General features: G+C 42.1%; 1 protein-coding gene and 1 long non-coding RNA gene across 43 annotated transcripts in view, besides 1 other annotated feature; both read left to right on the top strand.

The window, feature by feature from the left end:
- Window positions 1–23783, top strand: part of DENND1A (DENN domain containing 1A) — a 550469-nt gene that overhangs the window by 339394 nt on the left and 187292 nt on the right. For all 42 annotated transcript variants that reach the window (XR_007061334.1, XR_007061335.1, NR_148208.2 and 39 more), the window contains one exon: window positions 7463–7564. Coding sequence is in view for 39 of the 42 variants with exons in the window: in NM_001352965.2 (NP_001339894.1) it covers window positions 7463–7564 (102 nt within the window). In the remaining 3 variants the exon portion in view is untranslated. The remainder of the gene's footprint in view (window positions 1–7462; window positions 7565–23783) is intronic.
- On the top strand, window positions 8300–23477 carry LOC105376266 (uncharacterized). The gene is made up of 2 exons (XR_930332.3): window positions 8300–20498; window positions 21138–23477. It is a non-coding gene; the product is annotated as an uncharacterized LOC105376266 (long non-coding RNA).
- Window positions 19328–19407: a silencer, noted in NCBI's record as "silent region_20251". NCBI's record gives its function as "represses an Ori minimal core promoter by ATAC-STARR-seq in GM12878 lymphoblastoid cells {active_cell/tissue: GM12878}" and the evidence as "EXISTENCE:reporter gene assay evidence [ECO:0000049][PMID:35858748]".

The raw sequence follows: 23783 nt of genomic DNA, 5'->3' as shown, positions 1-23783 counted from the left end.
AACCCATCCATTTAAAGTATATGGTTCAATGCATTTTGACAGTTTTATACGATCATGAAACCACCACAATAAAGATACAGAATATTTTCATCACCCACAAAAGATCATTTGTTTTTATTTAACAAACACTTATCTTGCACTTCCCATGTGCCAGGCACTACTCCAAGTACTTTAAAATATTAACCCATTGAATCCTCACAAATCTGTGAGGTAGGTACGGTTATCATCCCCCATTTATCAAGGAGGAAACTGAGGCACAGAAAGATTAAGTGACATACCCAAGTTGGCACAGCTGGTGGATGGTAGAGATTAATTAGAACCCAGACTGGCTTTGGATCTATGTTCTTCACCTCTGGGCTCTGCTGCCTCTCATTCATTCATTCACGAATTGTCTGCTCTTGGGCAAATATTGGAGTAGGAGCTGAGAGTAGAGAAATCTGATTCCCAACCCCCAAAAGCCTGTAGACTAGGGAAGGAATCAGATACCTACCTAAGTAAGTCACAGTCAACGTGTTATTCTAATTGTGCAGATAAACCTTAGGGGAGCACAGGTCATGGGAGGCTTGCCGCTGCCTCAGTCTCTCTAGCCAGGCATGGCTGAGGTCTAGGAACCATCCAAGGAGAGGGGACGGGCAGGCAAGAGAACTGATGAGTGCCTGTTAGGGCTATTCTGGGAATTATGCTGAATCTTTTACATACATTAGCTTATCAAAGCCTCACACAACTCTGTGAGATAGGTGGTGTTATGATCTCCATTCTACAGATGAAAACCTGGAGGATTTATGCAGTCAAGCCAGTTGCCTACAGTAAGCCCCCTGGTCGGGGACAAGCCAGAGGTGAAATACTAGAGCTGGTGTCCTCTCAGCTGCCCCTGACCACTCCCCATACTACGGGTTTTCCCTTCCCTGGCCTGAAAGGCAGGGGTCAAGTTCAGACTGTCTGTGACAAAGCAGAAAGAGGAAGACATTCTTCATTAACAATATATATGGGAAAGTGCCATTTTGTGTGTGTGTTTCTCTATGTAAGAAATGCCATTTGGAAAGCCAGTGTGCATGTCAGTTTTTTTTTTTTTTTTTTTTTTTTTTCATTCTGAGAAAAAGCCTATAGAGTCTGGTGGGGGGAAGGGTTTGCAGCTGGCAGGAGCTTTGGCATATGCTGTAACTAAAAAGAGAGGGAATGTGTTGGTGGGACAAGCTACCGGAGAGCTGTCTCGGTGTGCCGCAGTACTAGTAAGTGTTTTAATTGGGTAGGGTTTTTGGAGGACTATTTTGACATCTGCTCATGTCTTTGCTGATTTTTCTTCACTTATAGTAGGAAACACAAGCTGTGGATAAAATGACTTTAAAATAATTGGAAGTAAAGATATCTCTCTCAAAGTCGAATTTGAGAGGGACACTTTTTAAGAAGTGGAAACTAAATTCCACTTCTAGGAATGCATCCTAAAGCACAAAGCTTTATGCCTACAGATTTCATGACGATATTATATACAGTAATTTCTTCAAAACTGGAAATAACATCCCACAAAAGGGGCTTGGTTGAGTTTGTTTCCATGTAGTAGGGCACTCTGTCGCAGTTAGTAATGATCCACGCAAAGTTCTTAATTAAGTGGATCACTGCTTATATCAGAATCAGTGAGAAAATCAGAAGTGTTAAGAATTATTTCAACTGGCCAAACGCAGTGGCTCACACCTGTCATCCGAGCACTTTGGGAGGCCGAGGTGGGTGGATCACGAGATCAGGAGATCAAGACCACTTTGGCCAACATGGTGAAACCCCATCTCTAGTAAAAATAAAAAAATTAGCTGGGTATGGTGGCATGCGCCTGTAATCCCAGCTACTCAGGAGGCGGAGGCATAAGAACAGCTTGAACCCAGGAGGCAGAGGTTGCAGTGAGCCAAGATCATGCCACTGCACTCCAGCCTGGCAACAGAGCGAGACTCCCATCTCAAAAAAAAAAAACAAAATAGAATTATTTCAACTTTGCTTTAACACGTAGGAAGGGAGAATATGGAAGGAAATAGACCAAAACATTGTCTCCAAATGGAGGGACTGGGATAACTGTAATTTTCTTCTTTAAACTTTTCTCTTCCCCCCCCCCCTTTTTTTTTTTTTGAGATGGAGTTTCACTCTTGTCACCTAGGCTGGAGTGCAATGGTGCAATCTCAGCTCTCTGCAACCTCCGCCTCCCAGGTCCAAGCAATTCTCCTTCCTCAGCCTCCCAAGTAGCTGGGATTACAGGCACCCGCCACCACACCCGGCTAATTTTTTGTATTTTTAGTAGAGACAGGGTTTCGCCATGTTGTCCAGGCTGGTCTTGAACTCCTGACCTCAGGTGATCCACCCGCCTCAGCCTCCCAAAGTGCTGAGATTACAAGCGTGAGCCATCGTGCCCAGCCTTTCCCATTTTTTAATAGTAGGCATCTATAATTTTTTTTTTTTTTTTTTTTTTGAGACAGAGTTTCACTCTTATTGTCCAAGCTGGAGTGCTGGAGTGCAATGGCTGAATCTCGGCTCACTGCAACCTCCACCTCCCAGGTTCAAGTAATTCTCCTACCTCAGCCTCCCGAGTAGCTGGGATTACAGGCATGTACCACCATGCCTGGCTAATTTTGTATTTTTAGTAGAGATGGGGTTTCTCCATTGGTCAGGCTGGTCTCGAACTCCTGACCTCTGGTGATCTGCTCACTTCGGCCTCCCAAAGTGCTGGGATTACAGGTGTGAGCCACCATGCCCATCCTATTTTTTATGATAAAAAGGAAAGTAGTATTTTATGTAAGAGAAAGCAGTCTCTGAGCATGTTGATATAACTGTGTGTCCTGAACAGTTAGGTACTCATTCTGATGTCTGAGCGATCGGATTAGGGGTATCTTCAGAAGAAAGTCAGCTTTGGGGTCAGACTGTTTAGGGAGACCCCCTGAAACTATTGCTACAGAATAAAAGATGAAATGCTCCTGATTATTGTAAATACAAAATTGCATGCAGGATTGTGTAAAGACAATGCCAGGTTGGACTGCCAAAATGAGCCAACAGTGTGTGATGTGCTTCCCCATGCAGAGAACCTATGAATGGACGTGCAGTCAGGGAGGTTTCACATCACCAAGATGTTCATAGCTCTGGGAATGGAATACGACCCTTGTGGAGAGCCTATAAACGGACGCATGGGGGGACGCCTGTCCATATGGATAAGATAGGGCTATAAATGCCCTCATCTTGCCACGGCTCTTCTAGGCCTCTTTAGGGTTAGGGCATACTCCCTTCTGAGAATTTCTGGTCTAACTGGTTGTCTAGCTTCACGTCCTGTTTCCATGGATTGTTTGTAACCAGCTTTTGTTGCAATTGTTACTGCTGATTAATAGCTTGCTAATCATAGGTTACGGAAAGATTGTGTTTCTGTTTTAAGGCTCTGTTAGAAATTACTGACGCACACACTATATTGTAAATTCTTATCTCTGTGTACTCTATATACTGAGCCACTCAGTTATGCTCTGTACTTCTACATACAAATGCTATGTTAAAGAATTACTTCATCCCCATGTGACCATCTCACCGCATAATCAAATGACCCTAAATCCCTCACTAACCTACCCCCGCCTTCACTAAACTTAATAATAAATGCTGGTATATCCAGTGCATTGTTGGCACCGCAGGACCAGAAGCTGGTGACCCCCCTGGACCCAGCTTTCACTATCTCGTGTGTGTCTATTATTTCTCAACCTGCCGATCCACCTGGGAACAAAGAGAGAGCCCCGTTGCATTGCGGGCTGCTGGCCAGATCCCGCAATAAGACTGTGTTCAAAAGTTGACTGCTGCTTCCTAGCTCTGACTTTGGGCAGCTTGTTTGACCTCTCTGCGCCCCCACTTGGTTCCCATGCAGAGATGCTAGTGTCCCTGACTGATGGCATGGTTAAGATGAGAGGCACCGGCACCTGGCGACGGTCTGGCTTTCTTCTCATCCGCGCTTCCTGTCCCCACCCCCAGTTTGAGTTTTTCTTGCCTTTCTTCATTCCCCTAGTTGCCTTGATCCTTTGGGGGACCGGGCACTGTCCAGCGAGCTGGGCTCCAATTCTTTCCTTGGGAACAGTGAGCTTCAGGAAGGCCCTTGAGTCCACGCCAGCCCTTTTGGAAGAGGCCTTGCCACCAGGAGGGCAGCATTGTCCTTCAAGAGGAAACTGTGCCGTCCCAGCTCCTGCCTGGAGCCTGGTGCTCGGGGCATTTTGGTTACTAAGGGGACCCTGGCCTGCTAAGTTAGAAAAAGGGGCCAGGTTTTTTCCTATTCTTCAGCCTGCTGCCATTGTTGAAAAAGTAAACACTCCACAGAGCTTAACCGGCAAGTCCTCCAGCCAGGAGTGGGAAGAAATCAAAAGCCTATTCCAGCCCAGCCGTGGAGAGCCTACAAGGGCTGGTCTGTGCCACTGGGGCCCAATGGGAGCACAGAAACAAGGCCTGATTCTGGTCCAGAATCAACATCCCATTCATGGGGCCATTCAGCCCTGGAGGCTTCTCTCCAATGGCCATCATCTCCTGCTCCCTTCTGTTTGGGACTATTTGGAAGGTCAGATGAGGCAAAGTAGTTGATTCTGGGGTGCACGGTCCTCTGTTGTGTCCTGGAGGCATCACGTCCTCCAGGATGTTGTGAGTCCTTCTCTGATTCTGTTTCCTGTGACTGACTGTGCATAGCCTTTGAAGTGAGAGACCAAGCAAGAAGGGGCCCCAAGGATTTTTGCCCTCGGGCCATTGCCACTACAGCCTTCCAGACTGGCTGTGGCTATTGTGTGTATTAAAAAGTAGTAATAATAGCCACGATTTATTACATCCTACTGTGTGGCCAGCATTGTGGGTGTGTTTGCTCTCATCACAGCAGCCCTAGGGGGAGTGAGAGAAGCAGGGTGGCCACAGTTAGCATTTTAATTTTACAGACGCAGCCATTTAATAGACACATAACCTTGGGCAAGCTACTTCTTGGAGCCTCAGTTACTCATCTCTGAAATGGGGATAATGGTATCTCACCTCCAGCCCCATTGATGGAATGAAGGCATCTGTGTGGCAGTGCTGTGTGAGCCTGAAGTGTGACATCAGTGAAAAAGAGGGCCATTGATGCTGTTTTTGTACCTTCCTGCTAGCACACTGCTGGGCATTTAACCTGTTGGGTTGCAGAGTGAGCCAGCTAGAGAGTCCTGGACAATCCCCTGTGAATCTCAGCATTCTCATGTGTAAAATGGAGATTGTGCTTCATATAACAAAAGCGCTGTAAAATATGAACTCGTTTTTTGTATCATTAGGTTGGTGCAAAAGTACATTCTTTGCCATTACTTTGGTAAAAACTGCAATTACTTTTGCACTAACCTAATACAATCAAAGTTGTCCATTCGCTGATATCTTTTTACCCTATAAATAAGGCAGCAGGTAATAATGGGTGTTGGGGTTTGGAGGAAAGAATAAACTCCTACATCGGCAATTGTGTCCCTCCTCTGTGGTTCTCAGCCCATAGTAAGCACTTAGTAAACTATGTTTAGGAATTGATGGATAGGTTTATGGACAAGCCCCAGAGGCGTGGAGAAGTTAGTGGATAGCAGAAGGAGTTGGAGGCTCTGATGGTGTTAAGTGGAAAGGTTCCGGGATTCTGCTGCCTGGGAGTGTTTTTTCAATCCTAGTGAGGCTTGTGACCAGTGTGGCTCCACCCTCCTGCTGGGAAGAATCTTGAAATATTTACTTAGGTACCATGTTCTGCCCTAGAGGCTGTGGTTTAAGAGAGTGAATGTCAACCAGTATTAGTGTACACTTACCGGGTGCCAGTCATGTTGTCAGGGACTGGTTGTTTTGCAGTGGTGAGCCACAGATGAGCCCCTGAAGGAGCCCACACCCCAGCAGGGGAGGCAGGCAGGCAGAGAGGTGCTGGGGCTCAGAGTGACAAGGGCTGTGCGGAGGTCAGTCTCCCTGCGGGTGTCTGACGATGAGGAGGTGGATGGTGCAGTACACAGAGCATGGCCTGGGGAGGCAGCCAGGCCTGTGGTTGCCTCTGCCTCTTACCTCAGCACTCTGAACCTCATCTTCCTCAAGTTTCAAACATTGAGGGCAATAACATCCACTTCACAGGGGTTGATAAGAATTAAATGAAATAAGGTGAGTAAAGCACAGAGCAAGAGCTAGGAAGCTTCTAGTATATGCTACTTGTCCATTTCCAGGGCATTGGAAACTGGAGCTTGAGCAGCCATTGGATGTCTGCCTCTGTTGCCAGCCTACACCATGCTCTGGGGTGAATTAGGAAAAGGCATCTGCCCCCATTCCCCGACTGGTGCCACTCGGCAGGCACGTGAGTTGGCAGATTTCAGTCCTAGCTTAGGTGGTTGGCATCTGAGGAATGCATACCTGCGCAGCCACATGCAGCATGCTCAGAGGTTGACCAGTAATGGAATTGATCCTTTATATGCAGTGACCACAGGTCCCATCGTGTGCCTGTTGCCCTGGTGTAAGATGAGGTCTTTCACATCCAAATGTATCCCAGTTTAGACAGCAAATGATAGGCTCTTTCTACGCAAAATAAAATAAAGACAATAGTTCTAATGCCTCTGACTCAAAAGGAATACGCTTGATACGTGATGGGGAAGGAGGATTGAATGGGACCTGGAGTGGAGAGTAGGCAGGAGAAACACAAAGATGGATCTTAGTAGCGGATAAATAGTGTGATTAAAAATTTAAAACTCAGGCTACACCCTGTCTTGGACTCACATAGGCTATGGGGAATTGCTGCCAGATTGGGGGCAGGATTCTTTTTTTCTCCATATTGTCCGTTCATCCCTTCTCCTGTCACCAAGCATGAAAACCTTGTAGGCATGAGTTTCCCTCATCTTTTCTATTACTGTGCCAGTAGAATAATGGCTTATGGCCAGAGCTTCTGAGCCATTACTAACTGGATATCTGTGGAAAATGGAACCAAATTGAAAGTGTGACCTTCCTACTTGGCGTTTAAGGGAAGTGTTAACAGTAGGCCACACACAATATTCCATACCCAAGAATGACAGGATCCAAAAGAGAGATGGGCAAGTAGCCTTTGTTAAATTAGGGGGCTGGATTGAATGGGGATATCATAAGAACACAGCCGTATATCAGCATTCCTGGGGACAGAGCTTTTGACCTCAGCGTCTGTTAAATATATAGGGGAAAAATGATGATGGGGTGTAATGATTCCTCTTACTTTCTGGCTATGTGACCTGGGGCATGTTACTGAGCCTCTGTGAACCCTTTTCACTCCTGGGACTTGGGGATAGTCATGCAAGCTCACAGAGATTTTATGAGAGTTCAGTGAGCTAACAAATGTGAACCTCCTACCATTGGGCCTGCTGCAGAGTAAGACTTTGTCAAATGTCACTTTCCTTCTCTATGCCTCTTCCCCAGAGAAGGCAGGGGAAGTGTGTCTTGATGGCACCTCAATGACCTTCTCTTGTGGATTTTTTTCTCCTTGCAGAAAGTCAGAAACATGGCCCTGGATGATGTCGTGATCCTGAATGTGGACACCAACACCCTGGAAACCCCCTTCGATGACCTCCAGAGCCTCCCAAACGACGTGGTAGGTAATGAGCTTGCGAGGATCTCACTTCTGTGAGCTCCTGCAAAGGAAATGAACGTGACTTTGGGGAATGGGGAAGGAGGGGAAATAGCGAGGGTTTTCCTGTGACCTGAGAACTGCAGTTTGTTTCTGCATTGAAACCTTTGTCTCAGTGTAGAAAGTTGGAAGGTGGCCAGGCATGGTGGCTCACACCTGTAATCCCAGCACTTTGGGAGGCCGAGGCGGGTGGATCACCTGAGGTCAGGAGTTCGAGACCAGCCTGGGCAACATGGTGAAACCCTGTTTCTACTAAAAATACAAAAATTAGCCAGGCATGGTGGTGCATGCGTGTAATCCCAGCTACTCGGGAGCTGAGGCAGGAGAATCACTTGAACCCGGGAGGTGGAGGTTGCATTGAGCTGAGATTGCGCCACTGCACTCCAGCCTGGGTGACAGAGCGAGACTCCATCTCAAAAAAATAAAAAAGAAATGGCCGGGCACAGTGGCTCACACCTGTAATCCCAGCACTTTGGGAGGCCAAGGCGGGCAGATCATGAGGTCAGGAAAGTGAGACCATCCTGGCTAACATGGTGAAACACAGTCTCTACTAAAAATACAAAAAATTAACTGAGCATGGTGGCATGTGCCTGTAGTCCCAGCTACTCAGGAGGCTGAGGCAGGAGAATTGCTTGAACCCAGGAGGCAGAGGTTGCAGTGAGCTGAGATCGTGCCACTGCACTCCAGTCTGGGCGACAGAGCAAGACTCCATCTCAAAAAAAAAAAAAAGAAAGTTAGAAGAAGGTTTATTTCTTGAGTCTATTTTGACTTGAACTTTCATCAGAAAGACTGTGAAGTGACCTTAGTGTCCAGACCTCTCCTCTTCCTGTGGGAGTCTGAGAGTCTCGCCAGCTCTCCCCAGCACGCTGCCACCTCTAGAGATCAGGGCAGCTCCCTCCAAGTAACAGCACAGAAGGCAGCTGGCGGGGTTTTCAGTGTGAACAATTTGGGGTACTTCAAACCTACATTTTTTTCCTAGACCATCTAGAACATGGTAGAGTATCGGGTGGCAGTGCTGTCAGTGTAGCTGTGCACCCTCCGCATTGCACTTTGTTGCCTCAGGTCTACACAGAATGTGGGTTCTATTGAGCAAAAAGTAGCTGGCTGCCACATTTGCCATGCTAACATCTGCCTATACACCTGTCTTCTGTTGCTACTTGGAGCTGCCCTGTAGGCAGCTGTGTGAGGTAGACCCATTCTCCCCTTGTCCATGCCAGTGAGGATTGGGCCTCACCGGCAAGTGTGGTTTTGCTGTTTCTGCTTTGGCCTCCGTAGCTCTGCCTGCAAGAAGATCTATAGAGTTATCCTGACTTCCAGAGTGAAACGGGTTGTTGTTCCTGGCCATGTGGTGCTCATATGTGTCCTGGTCGGGGAAGTGTTTTACCTGGTGGGCATTGGTGCACCATCACTGCCAGAAGGCCCAGTGGCACCCTGTGGGTAGCTGTTCTGAAAGGATTGCTATTAGTTGATGAAGTCTTGCAGGAGAATTTCTTTCTTTTTTTTTTTTTGAAACAGTGTCTGGCTCTGTCACCCAGGCTGGAGTGCAGTGGCACTATCTTAGCTCACTGCAGCCTCTGCCTCCTGGGCTCAACTGATCCTCCTACCTCAGCCTCCCAAGTAGCTGGGACCGTAGGCACATGCCACCACACCCAGCTACGTTTTGTAGAGATGGAGTCTTGCTGTGTTGCCCAGACTGGTCTCATACTCCTGGGCTCAAGCAATCTGCCCATCTCAGCCTCCCTAAGTGCTGGGATTACAAGCATGAGCCACTGTGCCCAGCCGTAACAGGATTTCAAACTTCTCTCCACCTAACTCACTGTGAGATTTTGGGGGAGTCATTTGTGCCCTACAGCAGTGCTCCACTTATAATTCAACAATGGCTGCCATTCACTGGCTCACTGCACTGAGCTCCCATCATTGACCTCTCATTTACTCTTCATGCCACTCTGAGGATGGTCTTTTCCTTACTCCCGCTTGACCCACAGAGCTAGAGAGAGGAGGAGCCAAGGCATGAACTCAACCCCGTGGGTCTGCAGAGCCCACATGGCCCCTCTGCCCTACTAGGTGTCTTCTGCGTTTAGGATGTCATTCATCCTGAATGACAGTTAGTGTTGTAGCCCTTTGGAACAGGTGATCTCTCCTTTCTACAGAGAGGAGAGAACCTCAGAGAGCACGTGCCTTGCCTGAAATCCTGTAGGTGATTAGGGGCACAGCTGAGATTGGACCCCCAGTCTGTGCTGCTTCTACTCTATGTATCCCGCCTCCCTCTGAGGCAGCAAGAGATGACAGAACTTAGGAAAATTTAAAGTGTCAGACAGGAATGAGGACCTGTGAGGTGTGAGAATCATGTCAGGACAGGGTAGTACATGGTTGGTACCTTAGGGCCTACTAGCTATAATTTGAGTTCTTTTGGTCCAAGGAATCTGAGGCTCCCATCCCTGTTTCCTTTCAGTGGACAAGCACCTCTTGAAGCCATGGATATCTCAGGCATGGACCAGGCAAATGCCTAGTGAATGTGGGAAGTGAACCTGAGGTCTGTTAGGTGCAGGAAATGGCCAAGGGCCCTGGGGCAGCATGAGATGAGTGACTGGCAGCTCAGAAACCATGGAGTGGACTGACTGGTCCCACCTGCACTGCTCTGACCCTGTGCTGGCACTGAGCAGCAAAGAGAAAGCAGATCTTCAAAGATTGTATGTCAGTAAAGGAAACAGATATGTCAATTACATATCTATTACAGTATAGCATAATAGAGACCACAGGGAAATAGGAGTCGGGCACAGAAGGGCCCAGGAGAGAGAGTAACAAAATTTTGGGGAGGATAATGGAGTCTTTCTGAAGATGGCAAATTCCAAGATGCCTTTTAAATGACAAAATGAGGTAGCCTCAGGGAACCAAAGTAACTTGGGTGAGTTATTTTCCCTCTTTGAGCCTCAGTTTTCCACATTAAAAGAGGAGTACCAGGCTTGCTCTGAGGATTATTATGGCAAACAGCTATGGTAATGATTATCAAATGCTTGGCACAGTGCTTGCATGTTGTCAGCATTCAAGAAATGGTACCTGCATTTGTTTTTAATAAAATTGTTGCTGATAATTATAGGCAAGATTGGAGGACAGTTAATAACCTCTATGTCCTGACAGTCTCAGCGTGCACAAATGGGACCTCCTATATGCAAGCTGGTTTGTAACAGGGTTGAGAATGTTCTACAGCAGTGGTTTCCAGCTTGGGCCTCTATACTCATTAAGGATTCTGAAGATTGTAATGGGGGGAGATGTGGTCTGTAAGGTATTTATTGTATTTCAATGGAATTCACAGCTTTGATTCTGTGATGCTACATGAGCTATCAAGAGGAGAAATCGTGCCCTGCCTGTCTTTGTGTCCCCTGCATTTGGCATAGGACCTGGTAATTTTAGTGTATCAGCCTATCCATCGTTGACCTTAAAATCTCCCCTTTGGCCAAAGTTGTGTGTTTACTCTGACAGATTCTGCTTCTTAAACATTTGGTAAATCCACATCCTCTTCCTCATCCCTCCTAAACACCACCTAATCTAAGCTTTTATTTTCCCCCTGCATTATTACCAGCAGACTCAAGACTGGCTCATCTGACTCCAGCCTCATCCCTCCAATCTTTCCGCCTCATGCCCCAGAGTGACCTTTCTAAAAACATAAACTCCATTTCCCACCTAACTAAAACTATTCCATCAGTGAATGTAATTTTTCAAAAAAACATTTAAGGACAAAAAAATTCTCCTATAACTTCCCATTACCTAGAGATTCAAGGCAACTTCCCTTTGTTGGCTTTGAAATCAAACAGACCTGTTTTCACATCCTGGCTTCCTCACTTCATGTCCGTGTGATCTTGGGCAAAATTACTTAAGCTCTCTAAGACTTAATTTCCACATAAGGTTGTTTGAGAATTAAATGTAATATATATAATATATTTAAAACATATATCCTATCAGCACAATCGACAGTAGCTGATGATGATGAATTATGGATGTGAATTATGATCCGCAGGGCATTCAGCCCTCCTTCATGATACCCCCCTGTTTTTGTTTCTCCATAGCTGTAGTTCTCTCTCCTCCCTGCTTTAAACTCTGTACTGTAGGTTTTTAGAACTGTTAATGGTTGTCCCAAATTTACATGTTGTTTCATAACTTCATACTTTGTATGCAGCATTTCTTTTGTCCCAGTGTCTTACCTCATCTATTAATCTCTCACTCATTCTTCAAGACCTGCTCTCAAGTATTTAATCACACACACACACAAACACATGCACACACACACACACAAACACACACTGAATCTTTTCTGACCTTCACGTAGATTTGACCATATCTTTCTCTATGTCCCCACAGCCCCTTGTGTACCTTGTGTAATTGTACTGATTTATTGCCCATTTCCCTTTTACTTGTCAGTTTTTTGGAGTAGCAGTAATTGAGTTTTATTCATCTTTGTTTTCCAAGAATCTAGCAGCCACTGAATAGATAGATGGAAGGATGGAAGGCACATATGGATTGGGTTATTATGGTAGATGAAATCTTGTAAAACATGGCATCTACGCTGGAAACTTTATTAAAAGAGGCTTGGGGCCAGACATGGTGGCTCATGCCTATAATCCCAGCATTTTGGGAGTCTGAGGCAGAAGAATTGCTTGAGGCCAAGAATTCAAGTTTGCAGTGAGCTGTGATTGCGCCACTGCTCTCCAGCCATGATAGAATAATTGGAACTGGATTAATCCTCCCACAATTTAAAACTCTGGACAAATATGAAAACAGCTGTTTTCACATGTTGGACAACAGACAAGACAAGATTGTTATCCCTGAGTGAAAGGAAGCCAGTGAGGTGAGGCCTACTATCCCACTGGCTTTCTGCCTTGAGGCATTTTCTGGATATTGGTACTAGAAGGGGAATCCCCAGCAAAGCACAACAGTCTTGGGGAGCTGAAAGATTAAAGAACAGTTTGAAGGGGAGATGGTTTACATTTGCAAGTGAGAGTATCAGACAGGAGGGAGCTACTCAGCTGAAGAGCTCCAGAAACCTGAATTGACAAACCTGCTGAAGACTAATCTGCCCATATGTAGGGTAAAACTCCTGACAGGAAACTATAAGATGAACAGTTCTCAGAGCTCACACAAGTCTAGGAATCCTGCAGGTTCTGACCAACCAGAGTCAGAGATCTTGTTGGTCATTCAGGACAATGATAAGAGACACCAGTAGGGCATGACTTGATAGTACATCTAAATTAGCTATAAAGATCATTTTAGCCCTGCCCTGAAAGAGCTTAAAATTAAGCTTTGAGAGGCACAAGAGAGGGCTTTAGGGGTCCTAAAATGTGCTGGATTTTAATCTGAGTGCCAGTTACATGGGGGTGAATTCGTCAAGCTGAGCACCAATGGTGTGTGCATTTTTATGTGTGTATGTTAAACTTCGATGAAAAGTTTTAAACAAACCTATTTCTTTTTAAAGAAGTCTTTAAAAGATCAATCTGATGTGCAAGAAATCTAACCTTGTGTCAAAATAAACTTCAACCCTCTTTAAAAGAAGGCAACACAATCCAATATTCGATAACATAACATTCACAGTATCTAACATCTTATTTTAAAAGTGCAAGACATGTTGAGAATGAGGAAAATGTCACCCCTAACAAGAGGAAAATTAGTCAATAGAAACAGACTCAGAAGTGACAGATATGATAGAACTAGCAGATAAAGACTTTAAAGTAGATTTTATGAAGACTATAAATATGTTCATGAATTTAAAGGAAGACCTGATTAAATGAAGGGAGAAATGGAAGATATTTAAAAATGAAAGGGAACATCTATAAGCAACAAATACACCTAGAATGAAAAAAAAATCACTTATGGGATTAAGAGGATATGAGATACCACTGAATAAAACATCAGTGAATTTGAAGATATAGCAATAAAAACTCCTCAATATGAAGCCAAGAAAGAAAAAAGACTGGAAAAAGTTAACAAAACTCAGTGATCCTATAGCATAATATCAAGAGGGCTAACATACTTGCAACTGGAGTCCCAGAAGGTAAGGAAGGTGAGGAAAGACAGAAAAAATATTTTAACAGATTATAGCTGATTTTTTTTTCAATTTTGATGAAATTATACTCAGAGCTCCAAGAAGCTCAATAAACCTGAAACACAATGGACCCAAACAAAACCACACAAAGATACATTTTGATTAATTGCTCAAAACCAAGAAAAGCTTAAATTAGCCAGAGAGAAAAAGGTATGAGAAGTAATTCTAGCAGACTTATTGCCAGAGACCATTTAAGGCAGAAGACAATGGAATGACATTTTTAAAGTAATGAAAGATAATTTTTATCAACCCAGAATTCTATATCCAGTGAAAATATCCTTCAAAAATGAAAGCACTGAGGCAGGTGGATCACCTGAGGTCAGGAGTTCAAGACCAGCCTGGCCAACATGGTGAAACCCCGTCTCTACAAAAATTAGCCAGTCATGATGGCGGGTGCCTGTAATCCCAGCTACTCAGGAGGCTGAGGTGGCAGAATCGCTTGAACCCAGGAGGCAGAGATTTCAGTGAGCCGAGGCTGCCCCACTGCACTCCAGCCTGGGAAACAGAGCTAGAATCCATCTCAAAAAAAAAGGCAAAACTAGGACTTTTTAAAACAGATACAAAATTGGAGAAATCATTGTCAGCAGACCTGCACTACAAAAGAAGTTCTTCAGCGGGGAAAAATGATATTATAGGGAAATCTGAATTGTAAGGAAGTGAAGAGAACCACAGATAGTAAATATATGGATACATGTAAGAAATTTACTTTCTCATTTGTAATTTCTAAAAAAGTTAATTGAGTATTTCAAGTAAAAATAATACCAGTGGAGGTATTCTGCTGGTAATAATACCAGTAGGGGGTGGAGAATAGAAGTATTCTGTTTAAAGGTTGTTACGTTACCTGTATACAAAAACTGGCATAATATTATTTGAAGGTAGACTGTATTAAGTTAGAGATTTATGTTGTAAACCTTACAAGGGCCACTAAGGGAGGAAAAAATAAGACAGAGATATATAGCTAATAAGCCAGTATTGAAGGTCCAAAACATTTTGTGGGGAAAGAGTAAACATGACAACAGATGGAACAAATAGAAAAGTTAGCAAGATGATAGATTTATTCAACTATGTTGGTTTTTACATTAAACATACATTGTCTAGACACTCCAATTTACAGAGGTTATTATATAAAAAAGCAAGACCCAATTGTATAATTTCTGTAAGAATTCTACTTTAAATATGAAGAGTCAAATAGATGAAAAGTAAAAGGATAAAAAAGATATACCAGCCAAATGCTGATCAAAAGAGAGTTGGGGGGCAGAGAAACAAATCATCCTTATACAAGTATACCAAATAATATTTGTAAAGACTGTCCTGTCCAGAAGGGGCTTAATCGCCCCTTGCCCCTACTTGGGTGTGGGCTAGAATGTATTTATTCCTAAAAAACTGTGTGTGTAAAGAGAAAAAGAGTAACTTTAGTGGAGAAACTGGCAGACACTACCTTAACCAAACGATCAATTTTAACATCACCAGTGATGTCATGTGGATATCATATAACCACTGATGTGATGTAATGAGGATATTTCACTTCTGTGGTATTCTTTCCAAAAATCCACTCTAATCATGCAGAGACTTCTGAGAAATTCAAATTTGGGAACATTCTGCAACAGGGGTCTCCAACCCCTGGGCTGTGGATTGGTGCCAGTTCATGGCCTGTTCGGAACCCAGCCATACAGTAGGAGGTGAGCAGCGAGTGAGCATGACCACCTGAGCACTCTACCTCCTGTCAGATCAGCAGCGGCATTAGATTCTCAAAGGACCATGAACCCTGTTGTGAACTTTGTATGCAAGGGATGTAGGTTGTGTGCTCCTTATGAGAATCTAATGCCTGATGATCTGAGGTGGAAGAGTTTCATCCCAAAACCATCCTCCCTTGCACCTCTCCACCACCCCCAGCAGTCCATGAAAAGATTGTCTTCCATGAAACTGGTCCCTGGTGCCAAAAAGGTCGTGGGACTGCTGTTCTACAAAATATCTGACCAGCATTTCTCACAACTGTCAAGGTCATAACAAAGGAAAGACAAACTGTTCTAAACCAGAGGAGACTAAGGAGACATGACAACTAAATGCAATGTAGGATCCTGGATTGGATCTTGGGATAGAAAAATGGCATGAATGGAAAACTGATGAAATCACAATAAAGTCTGGAGTTTAGTTAATACTAATGTGCTATTGTTAGTTTCTTAGTTTTGACAAATGTGTGGTGGTAATCTAAGATATGCAAGCTTGTCCAACCCACCCCACTTTGTTGTTGTGGCTGTTCTGTTTTGTTTTAGGCTTTTAGCAGCCCAAAGCCATAGCTTTTAGTTTCTCTCTCTAGTGATAAGTGGAAAAGAGGGATGAGGAAGAGGCTTTGCCGGCCCAACCAGAAACAAACTAAGAACCCATGACTGCATTCTCTCCCTTTAACACCCCTGTTTAGGGGAAACTGAAACTGGGTAAGGAGAATATGGGTCCTCTTTGTACTATCTTTGTAACTTTTCTGTAAATCTAAAAATATTTCAAAATGAAAGTTCATTTTAGAAAAAGAAGGGAGTATTATGAATAACTTTACAATTTTGACAAATTAGGTAAAATGAACAAATTCCTTGAATTACAGAAAGTGACTCAAGAAGAAATAGAAAAATGGCACTATTTCTATTAAAGAATTTTAAATCTGTAAAACTTTCCCACAAAGAAAACCCTAGGCCCAGAGAGCCTCCCTGGTGAATTCTATCATATATTTAAGAAGAACTAACACAATCTTATCACCAACTTTTTCAAAAAACAGAAGTAAAAGGAAGATGTCTCATCTTATTTTATGAGGTCAGCTTTACCCCAACTTGAAAACCAGATAAATAATTTACAAACAAAAAAAAAAAAAAAAAAGGCAACTACAGACCAATATAGATGCAAAAATCTTTAACAATATATTATCAAATTGAATCCAGCAATATATAAAAAAGGATAATAACCTTTTTTAAAAGATGTGAATACAGGTTGGCTAAATATTTGAAAAACCATGTAATCTATTATATCAGTAAACTGAAAAGGAAAATAATAACAAGATATATGAAAAAAAAAATTTAGGAAAAATTCGGCAATATTCATGATAAGAACTCCTAGAAAATGAAGTATTCTCACTGTGATAGAGAGCATCTAGAAAAGACCTACAGCTCACATCATACTTAATGGTGAAAGACTGATTTCTTTCCCCCGAGAATGAAAGAAAGGTATCTGCTCTTCTTATTTCTATTCAACATTGTACTGGAGGTTCCCACCAGTTCACTAAGACAGGGAAAAGAGGTAAAGCCTTAATGATTAGAAAGAAGTGAAATTCTCTTTATTCAGACAACTTGATCGTGTATATGGAAAATTCTAAGGAGTCTCATAAATGAATTTAGTAAGGGTGCAGGATAAAGTCAGTATACAAAAATCAAATGTATTTCTATATACTAGTAACAAGCAATTGAAAATGAGATTTTTTAAAGTACCATTTAAAATAGCATACAAAACACAAAATACTTAGGAATAAATTTAAGAAAATATGTTGAAAATTTGTATCCTGAAAGCTATGAAACATTTCTGAAAAAAAATTTAAAAGACCTAAATAAATGGAGAGCTATTCCATGTTTTGGATTGGAAGACTCAATATTTTTTTACTCAATATTTTTAAGATGTTAATTTTCCCTAAATTGATCTATAGATTCAATATAATCCCAACCCAAATTCCAGATGGCTTTCTTTTTGGTAAACTTCACAAGCTGATTCTAAAATGTATATGAATATGCAAAAGATCTAGAATAGCCAAAACAATGTTGAAAGAGAAGAACAAAGTTGTAGGACTTATATTACCTGTTTGCAAGACTCACTATAAAGTTACAGTAATCAAGACAGTGTAGAAACACATATAAATCAATAGAACAAAATTAAGAGTCCAGAATTAGACCTACACATAAGTGGTCAATTGATTTTTCAACAAATATGCCAAAGTAATTCAAAAGGGAAAGAAGAGGGATCTTTTATTCCAACAAACGTGCTGGAACAACTGGATATCTATATGGAAAAAAAAGAAGCCTTGACTTTTACCTCATGCAAATATTAGCTCAAAATAGACTATAGACCTAAAAATAGAAGCAAAAACAATCAAATGACTAGAAAAAAAATATGAGAGGGAATCCTCATGAATTGGGGGTAGGCAAAAATTTCTTAGGACATAAAAAGCACACATCATAAATAAAAAAGTGATAAATTGGATGTCATGAAAGGTAAAAACTTATGCTCCCCAAAAGCATCATTTAAAAAATGAAGAGGCAAGCCACAGACAAAATGAGATAAAATATTCTTAACACTTATACCTAAAAAAGGACTTTTATCCAAAATATATTTAAAAATTCCAAAACTCAATAGCAAGAAGATAGCTCAATTAAAATGGGTAAAATATTTGAAGAAACACATCACAACATGCACATGAAAAGATACTCCGCATCGTTAGTCATGAGGGTACAAATTAATGTCACAACAAGGTTCTACTGCATACCCACTGGTACGGCTAAAATAAAAAGGCTGAATTTCTTATAGATGTATATTTTAAACATATGTTTACTGTATGACCAGGCGATCCCACACCTAGGTATTTGCCCAAGAAAAGGAAAACGTATGTATGTGTATGTTTTTAGCAACCCAAACCAGAAACAATACAGACGTCCCCCAACTGGTTAATATAAAAACAATCAGTGGTATACCCATAAAATAGAAGGCTACTCCACAATCAAGAAGAAGAAACTAACTACTGATCTATTCCACAAAATGGATGAATCTCAAATACATTAGAAGTGACAGAATCCATTTATTTTGTATTCTGGAACAGGCAAAACTATAAAGCTAGAAACAGCTGAGTGGTTGCCAGGACTAAAAGTGGAACAAGGGAAATTTGGGGGATGATGGACCGTCTGTATCTTGATTGTGGTGATAGATATATGACTGCATGTATCTTTCAAAATTCTTAGAACTATTCACTAAAGATGGTGAATCTTAAGGTATGTAAATCATACCTCAATAAACCTGACTTTAAAATTATTTAAACACTGGCAACACCAAGTATTGTCAAAGATGTGGAAGCATTTATGTGGAGCTTTCATCACGGCTGATGGGAGTACAATACGGTACAACCACTTTGGAAAACAGTTTGTCAATATCTCATGAAGTTAAACTTACGCCTACCATACAACCCAACAATCCCACACCTGGCTATTCACCCAAGAGAAATGAAACTATATCCAAACAGGCTTGTACATGAATGTTTATGGCAGCTGTATTCATAGAGAACAATAACTGAAAGTAACCGAAATGTCTATCAAATGGTAGATGGATAAATAAACAATGTATTATATCCCTTATGTTTATGTATTTACTCAGTATTCTGTAGTAACAAACGTTTGATACACCAAGCAACATGAATGAATCTTAATTCACACTGAGCAAAAGAAACCAGACACACAGCACTGTAGGATTTCATGTATGTAAAAATAGAAGAGAGAAAGCTAGTCTATAGTGGCTGAAAGCAGATCAGTGGTTGCCTTGGGCTGGGATGGAGGAGGCAGGGCCTGACTGCCAAGGGGCACCAACCAACCTTCTGTGGTGAAGGAACTGTTCTGTTTCTTGATTGTGGAGGTGGTTACACACGTGTAGACATTGGTCAAAACTCACTGGACTGTGCTTTTTAAGTGTATGCATTCTATTATATATCAGTTATGACTTAGTTAATTTTTAAAAGTAGCAGCCTTGGAAATTAATTTTAAAGGTGGAGTTCCAATATTAAGTAGCTTTCAGAACAACTCTGCTGATTTTTAGATGATTTATGTACATGAGCAAAGGGTTACTTTGGAGGCAGGATGGCTCGGCTTTGTGCTAGATGCCTAGACAATTTAGTCTCAAATGTATAATCTTGTCTGAGTTAGCTTTGTTTTACCCTAAAAAAAAAAATGAGGTTGGCAAGGTTAATGCCTTATACCTTGCTATGTTCCATGAAAGTTGCCAAAGTAGTGTTTTCACTGACAATATTGCATTGTTCCCTAGCTATGGATTTTGGAGGAAAAATATGGCAAGAATACTCCTTCTTTTAGATCTAAAGGCGTGTTTACAGACTTCATGTTTATCTCAAGCCCTGGCCTTCTCCACGCCATATTTCTTTAAAGGCCCAGAACCCTCAGACTCTCGAGATATTCTACAGGGCTTGTAGGAACTGGTGTGTGATCTTTCCCTGTGAGTCAACAATGCATTTGATTCCAGAAGCGAGGGACTAGGCCTTTTTATGGACTTGATACTTCTACCCTGTTAATGCATTTTTGTTAGTATTTTCTGATAGAGTGTTTATTCATTCAGCAGGCATTTCCTGAGCACCTACTATGTGCTAGGCTTTATATTGGGTATAATGAGTATGGAGGTGATTAAGACATAACCTTTATTCTCAGTGAGGTCCCAGGCTGGTTAGTAGAAAAGCTAATGCAGGCTGGACTGCCAGTCTTGCCCCCACTTCTCCAGTCCCCATCCATCCTCCAGGCTATAAACAAAGGTGTATTACAGAGCATGGAGACCACTCCCCAACTGAAAACCTTTAGTGGTGCCTCATTTTTCTCTTGGTGAAATTCAGGCTCCATAATATGGGCCTTTGTAATCCACTTTCTGCCCATCTCTCCTACCTCATCTCTTGCCATTGCTCTTCTACCCATTTATACTTTTTACTGACAGCTTTGCTTCCATACACAGGAGACTCTGGATGTTTCTAGTTCAGAGTCTTCCAGATGGGCAGATCTATAGCCACTTCAGGTATGGAGATTATTTGTTCATTATTCATTTAGCCAAAGTTTTTTGGGTGTATGCTCAGTGTATTGAGCCATGGGGACATGGAAACACTTGAGAAACAGTCATCCTTCCTGGAAAGGAGCGATGAGCACACTGGGGGATGAGAACTGAATGCATGGAGGTTGGAGGTGTGAACCAGGAATTAACAGTTTATTACGGCTAGAACATAGGGTGTGTGGTTGGGAGGGACAAAAGATGAGACCCAAATAGACAGGAGGGACCAGATTGGGAATGGTCACAAAAACAAGTTTGGACTTCAAGTTTGGGGCAGTGGGGCATCTACTAAGGTGATTAAGCCAGGGAATGATGTGATAAAATTCATGCTACCAGGAGTCCCAGACTAAGGGTCGAGTGTTGGATCCCACCTCTTGCTGCTTTGCTGGTTGCTAGAATCTGACCAAAGCTTTCCCCCACCCCACGTCTACTGATATTGGACTTGGGGTCAGGGGACAGTGTGCTAGAGAGAATTCTTAGTAGCACCTGTGACCAGCATCCAGTCATTCATCCCTTGTGCTTTTCAGGAGTTGTTTGTCCATCCCTGTTCTGTCTTGGGCCACTTGGCGACACTGTCCATGCTGTGACTTGTAAATTTCATTCATTCAGGAAGAGAGCATCGTGATCCAGTGAGCCTTGCCCTAAGCGTGTGTGTATGATTTGTCAACGATCGAGGATTTTATGGGAGTTTATGGGACTTCATTAAAGATGCTGGAGCAGGAGCACTGTGGGACATCAGAAGAGACCTCAGCAATAAACCACAATTCCAAGCTTTGGAATGCAGTAAATGTTTAAGAGACTTCCTTCCTTTCATTACTGAATTTTACTTTACTTTCATACCAGTAAAGAGTTGTGTTTTATTGGTTGAAATTTCTTGATTCTGTTTTTCCCAGGTCTGTTTAAAAGCTACATTTTATCTTTGAGGATGTTTGGCTCGTGGTGGAGGAAGTGCTGCCAGCGAATTCAATTAACTGGCAGAGCTCACAGATATTGTACACGGATTTCTTTTTTTCTTCTTTTTCACAACTGCTACATAAACACAGCTGGGTTTAATATTTGTCGTAACAAAGATTTAACTTGAATCATTTTACCCCGGGTAATTAATGCTTGGAATCTTGGCTACTTTTTCGTTCGTTTGTAATCCTCTGCATTTCTTTACTCTAGCTATCTAGATAATGAAGTGTGCTCCTCTAGGTCTTTGCCCTGCCTTAAAACTGCTTAATATTTGGCCGTTCCCACTAGAGAGCAGATGCTTTTCTTTGCAAGAATTGAATTTCTGTCAGCTCTTTTATGCATCATGTGTTTGGAACTGTAAGTGGATCAAGTTGTTCATCACAGCGGGGACACTGTGAAACACATCTATTATACACACTTCCCACCCCCCTTCCTGTTTTGTTTTTTTTTCCTCCCCTGAGGAGGTGGAGATGCCCGGATCCCCTTGGGAGATATCTCGCTCTGTGTGGATGTATCCATGTGATCCACCATGAATCCGGCCTGGCCACATCCCTAAGCAGGGAAATCTGTATCCATTCAGCCCAGGATTGTGGCTGAGACAAACCCCACTTTTATCTTTGTAAACACCAAGCTCTTCATTAACTCCCAAATACACACCAAGTTTGGGTCACTAAGTAAATCCACTAGGCTCAGCATAATGAGTGACATTTCAGTAATTGATGCCCTAGAATATGTTCATTGTGAACCCATGATTCTTTTCGATGCTAAAATAAAGGCTTGGGTAGTTTTGGCTTTGGAGTTGAGCTAGCGCAGAAGAATAGTCACCATCGATTAGGCCCCTACAGTGTGCCAGGCACTGTGCTAGGGGATTTGAAAATCTTGACATTTAATCTACATAAGAATCCTGCAAAAAAAAGAAGGGGAGGGTACTTTATCCCCTTTTTATAGATGAAGAAAAGGGGCCAAGTAACTTGCCTAGAGGCATCCAGATAATTGCCAGGAGGAGAGCCAGAATTTGAACTCAGGTCGGGCTGAGCCCAGAGTAAATCCATGTACTGTAAAGTGTGGTCCCCTCATGCCTAGAGGTCACTAGAATATATTCATCCATTGATCAATCAAGACATTGATTTATTATGCATGTTTATGACATGCTGCCATTGCTCCATCTGAGTTGTCTCATTCCATGTCAGGTCTGAAGTTTGGTTGGCATTTGTGAACACCTTTGTACTCATCTAAATCTGAACTCCTGGTGGTGACTGGAATAGTTTTAGTTTTGCTTTTCTCTCAAAGCTCAGTGCAAATACAACCCAAGTGCCCCAAGCAACCTACTGTTTTCTTAGAGTTTTGTGAATTTCAATTTCTAGCTGTGAACTGATGGTTAAAATTTCTACACCTCTATGGTTTAGTTTGTTAACACGGCTTTAGGGAAGCAGGCATCTTGGTGGCATTCCTGCTGTGATATGCTCATCTTTTGGGCCTCAGATAGTGGCTCTGAGGGCAGAAGTGCATTTTGGTTCATTTTTAATATATGTCATTCAATTTGCCAGAGTCATTGTGAGACATTCACATGTCTGACTGAGATACTGCTGATCTGTAGAATTAATTATAGTTAAATGGAAAGGTGGCTTTTGCTCATGAAGAAAGTCGTTAGTCTCTTGATAAACATTTTTAATTATGATTAACTTTAGTCTTCCTCCAAATACTTTCCATTAGAAAAGGCATTAATGTTCTGGTTCATTAGAAATAGAGCAATCCTTTTATTTTTGGTTTGCAGTCCATTTTGTTCTTGAAAGATATTGGTCCACTTTTTTAAAAAAAAATTGGTGGATGTTGTGTTGTAAAAAACATATAAGTTTCCTTTTGCAAGTGCATATCAGTTTTTTCAAAGGTAACTTACACTTTAATTTTGTGTGTTGTGTTTGCAAGAGAATGCTTCTTGGTTTATTCATGTTGACAACTGAAAAGCCTTAGACCTAATTAAAAGAATTTCCATGAGCACCTTTACTGAACCATTTCATTACGCGGCACTGCACAGATTGCATTGTGAAACATGGTGATAGTTTAAATCTGACCTTTAAACCTGAACTGCCAGAAGTATGGGGGGAAAACCCTTCTTTGAAAACACTCCCCGGATAAATATATGTGTGTGTATGTGTATGCATACATGCATGCACATATTTGGTTAGAAGCAATCTTTTTATGGAATGACCACCTAATAATATAAATACACATTTACTTTGAGCTCAGATCTTGTAGTCTCCTGTAGCTTGGGTAGGATTTTCTAGCTACATTAATTGTGTG

Source organism: Homo sapiens, chromosome 9 (assembly GCF_000001405.40).
Source record: "Homo sapiens chromosome 9, GRCh38.p14 Primary Assembly".
In the NCBI taxonomy this organism is placed as follows: domain Eukaryota; kingdom Metazoa; phylum Chordata; class Mammalia; order Primates; family Hominidae; genus Homo; species Homo sapiens.
Note: the sequence above shows the minus strand (reverse complement) of the source record. Positions and strands in the feature narration are given on the sequence as shown.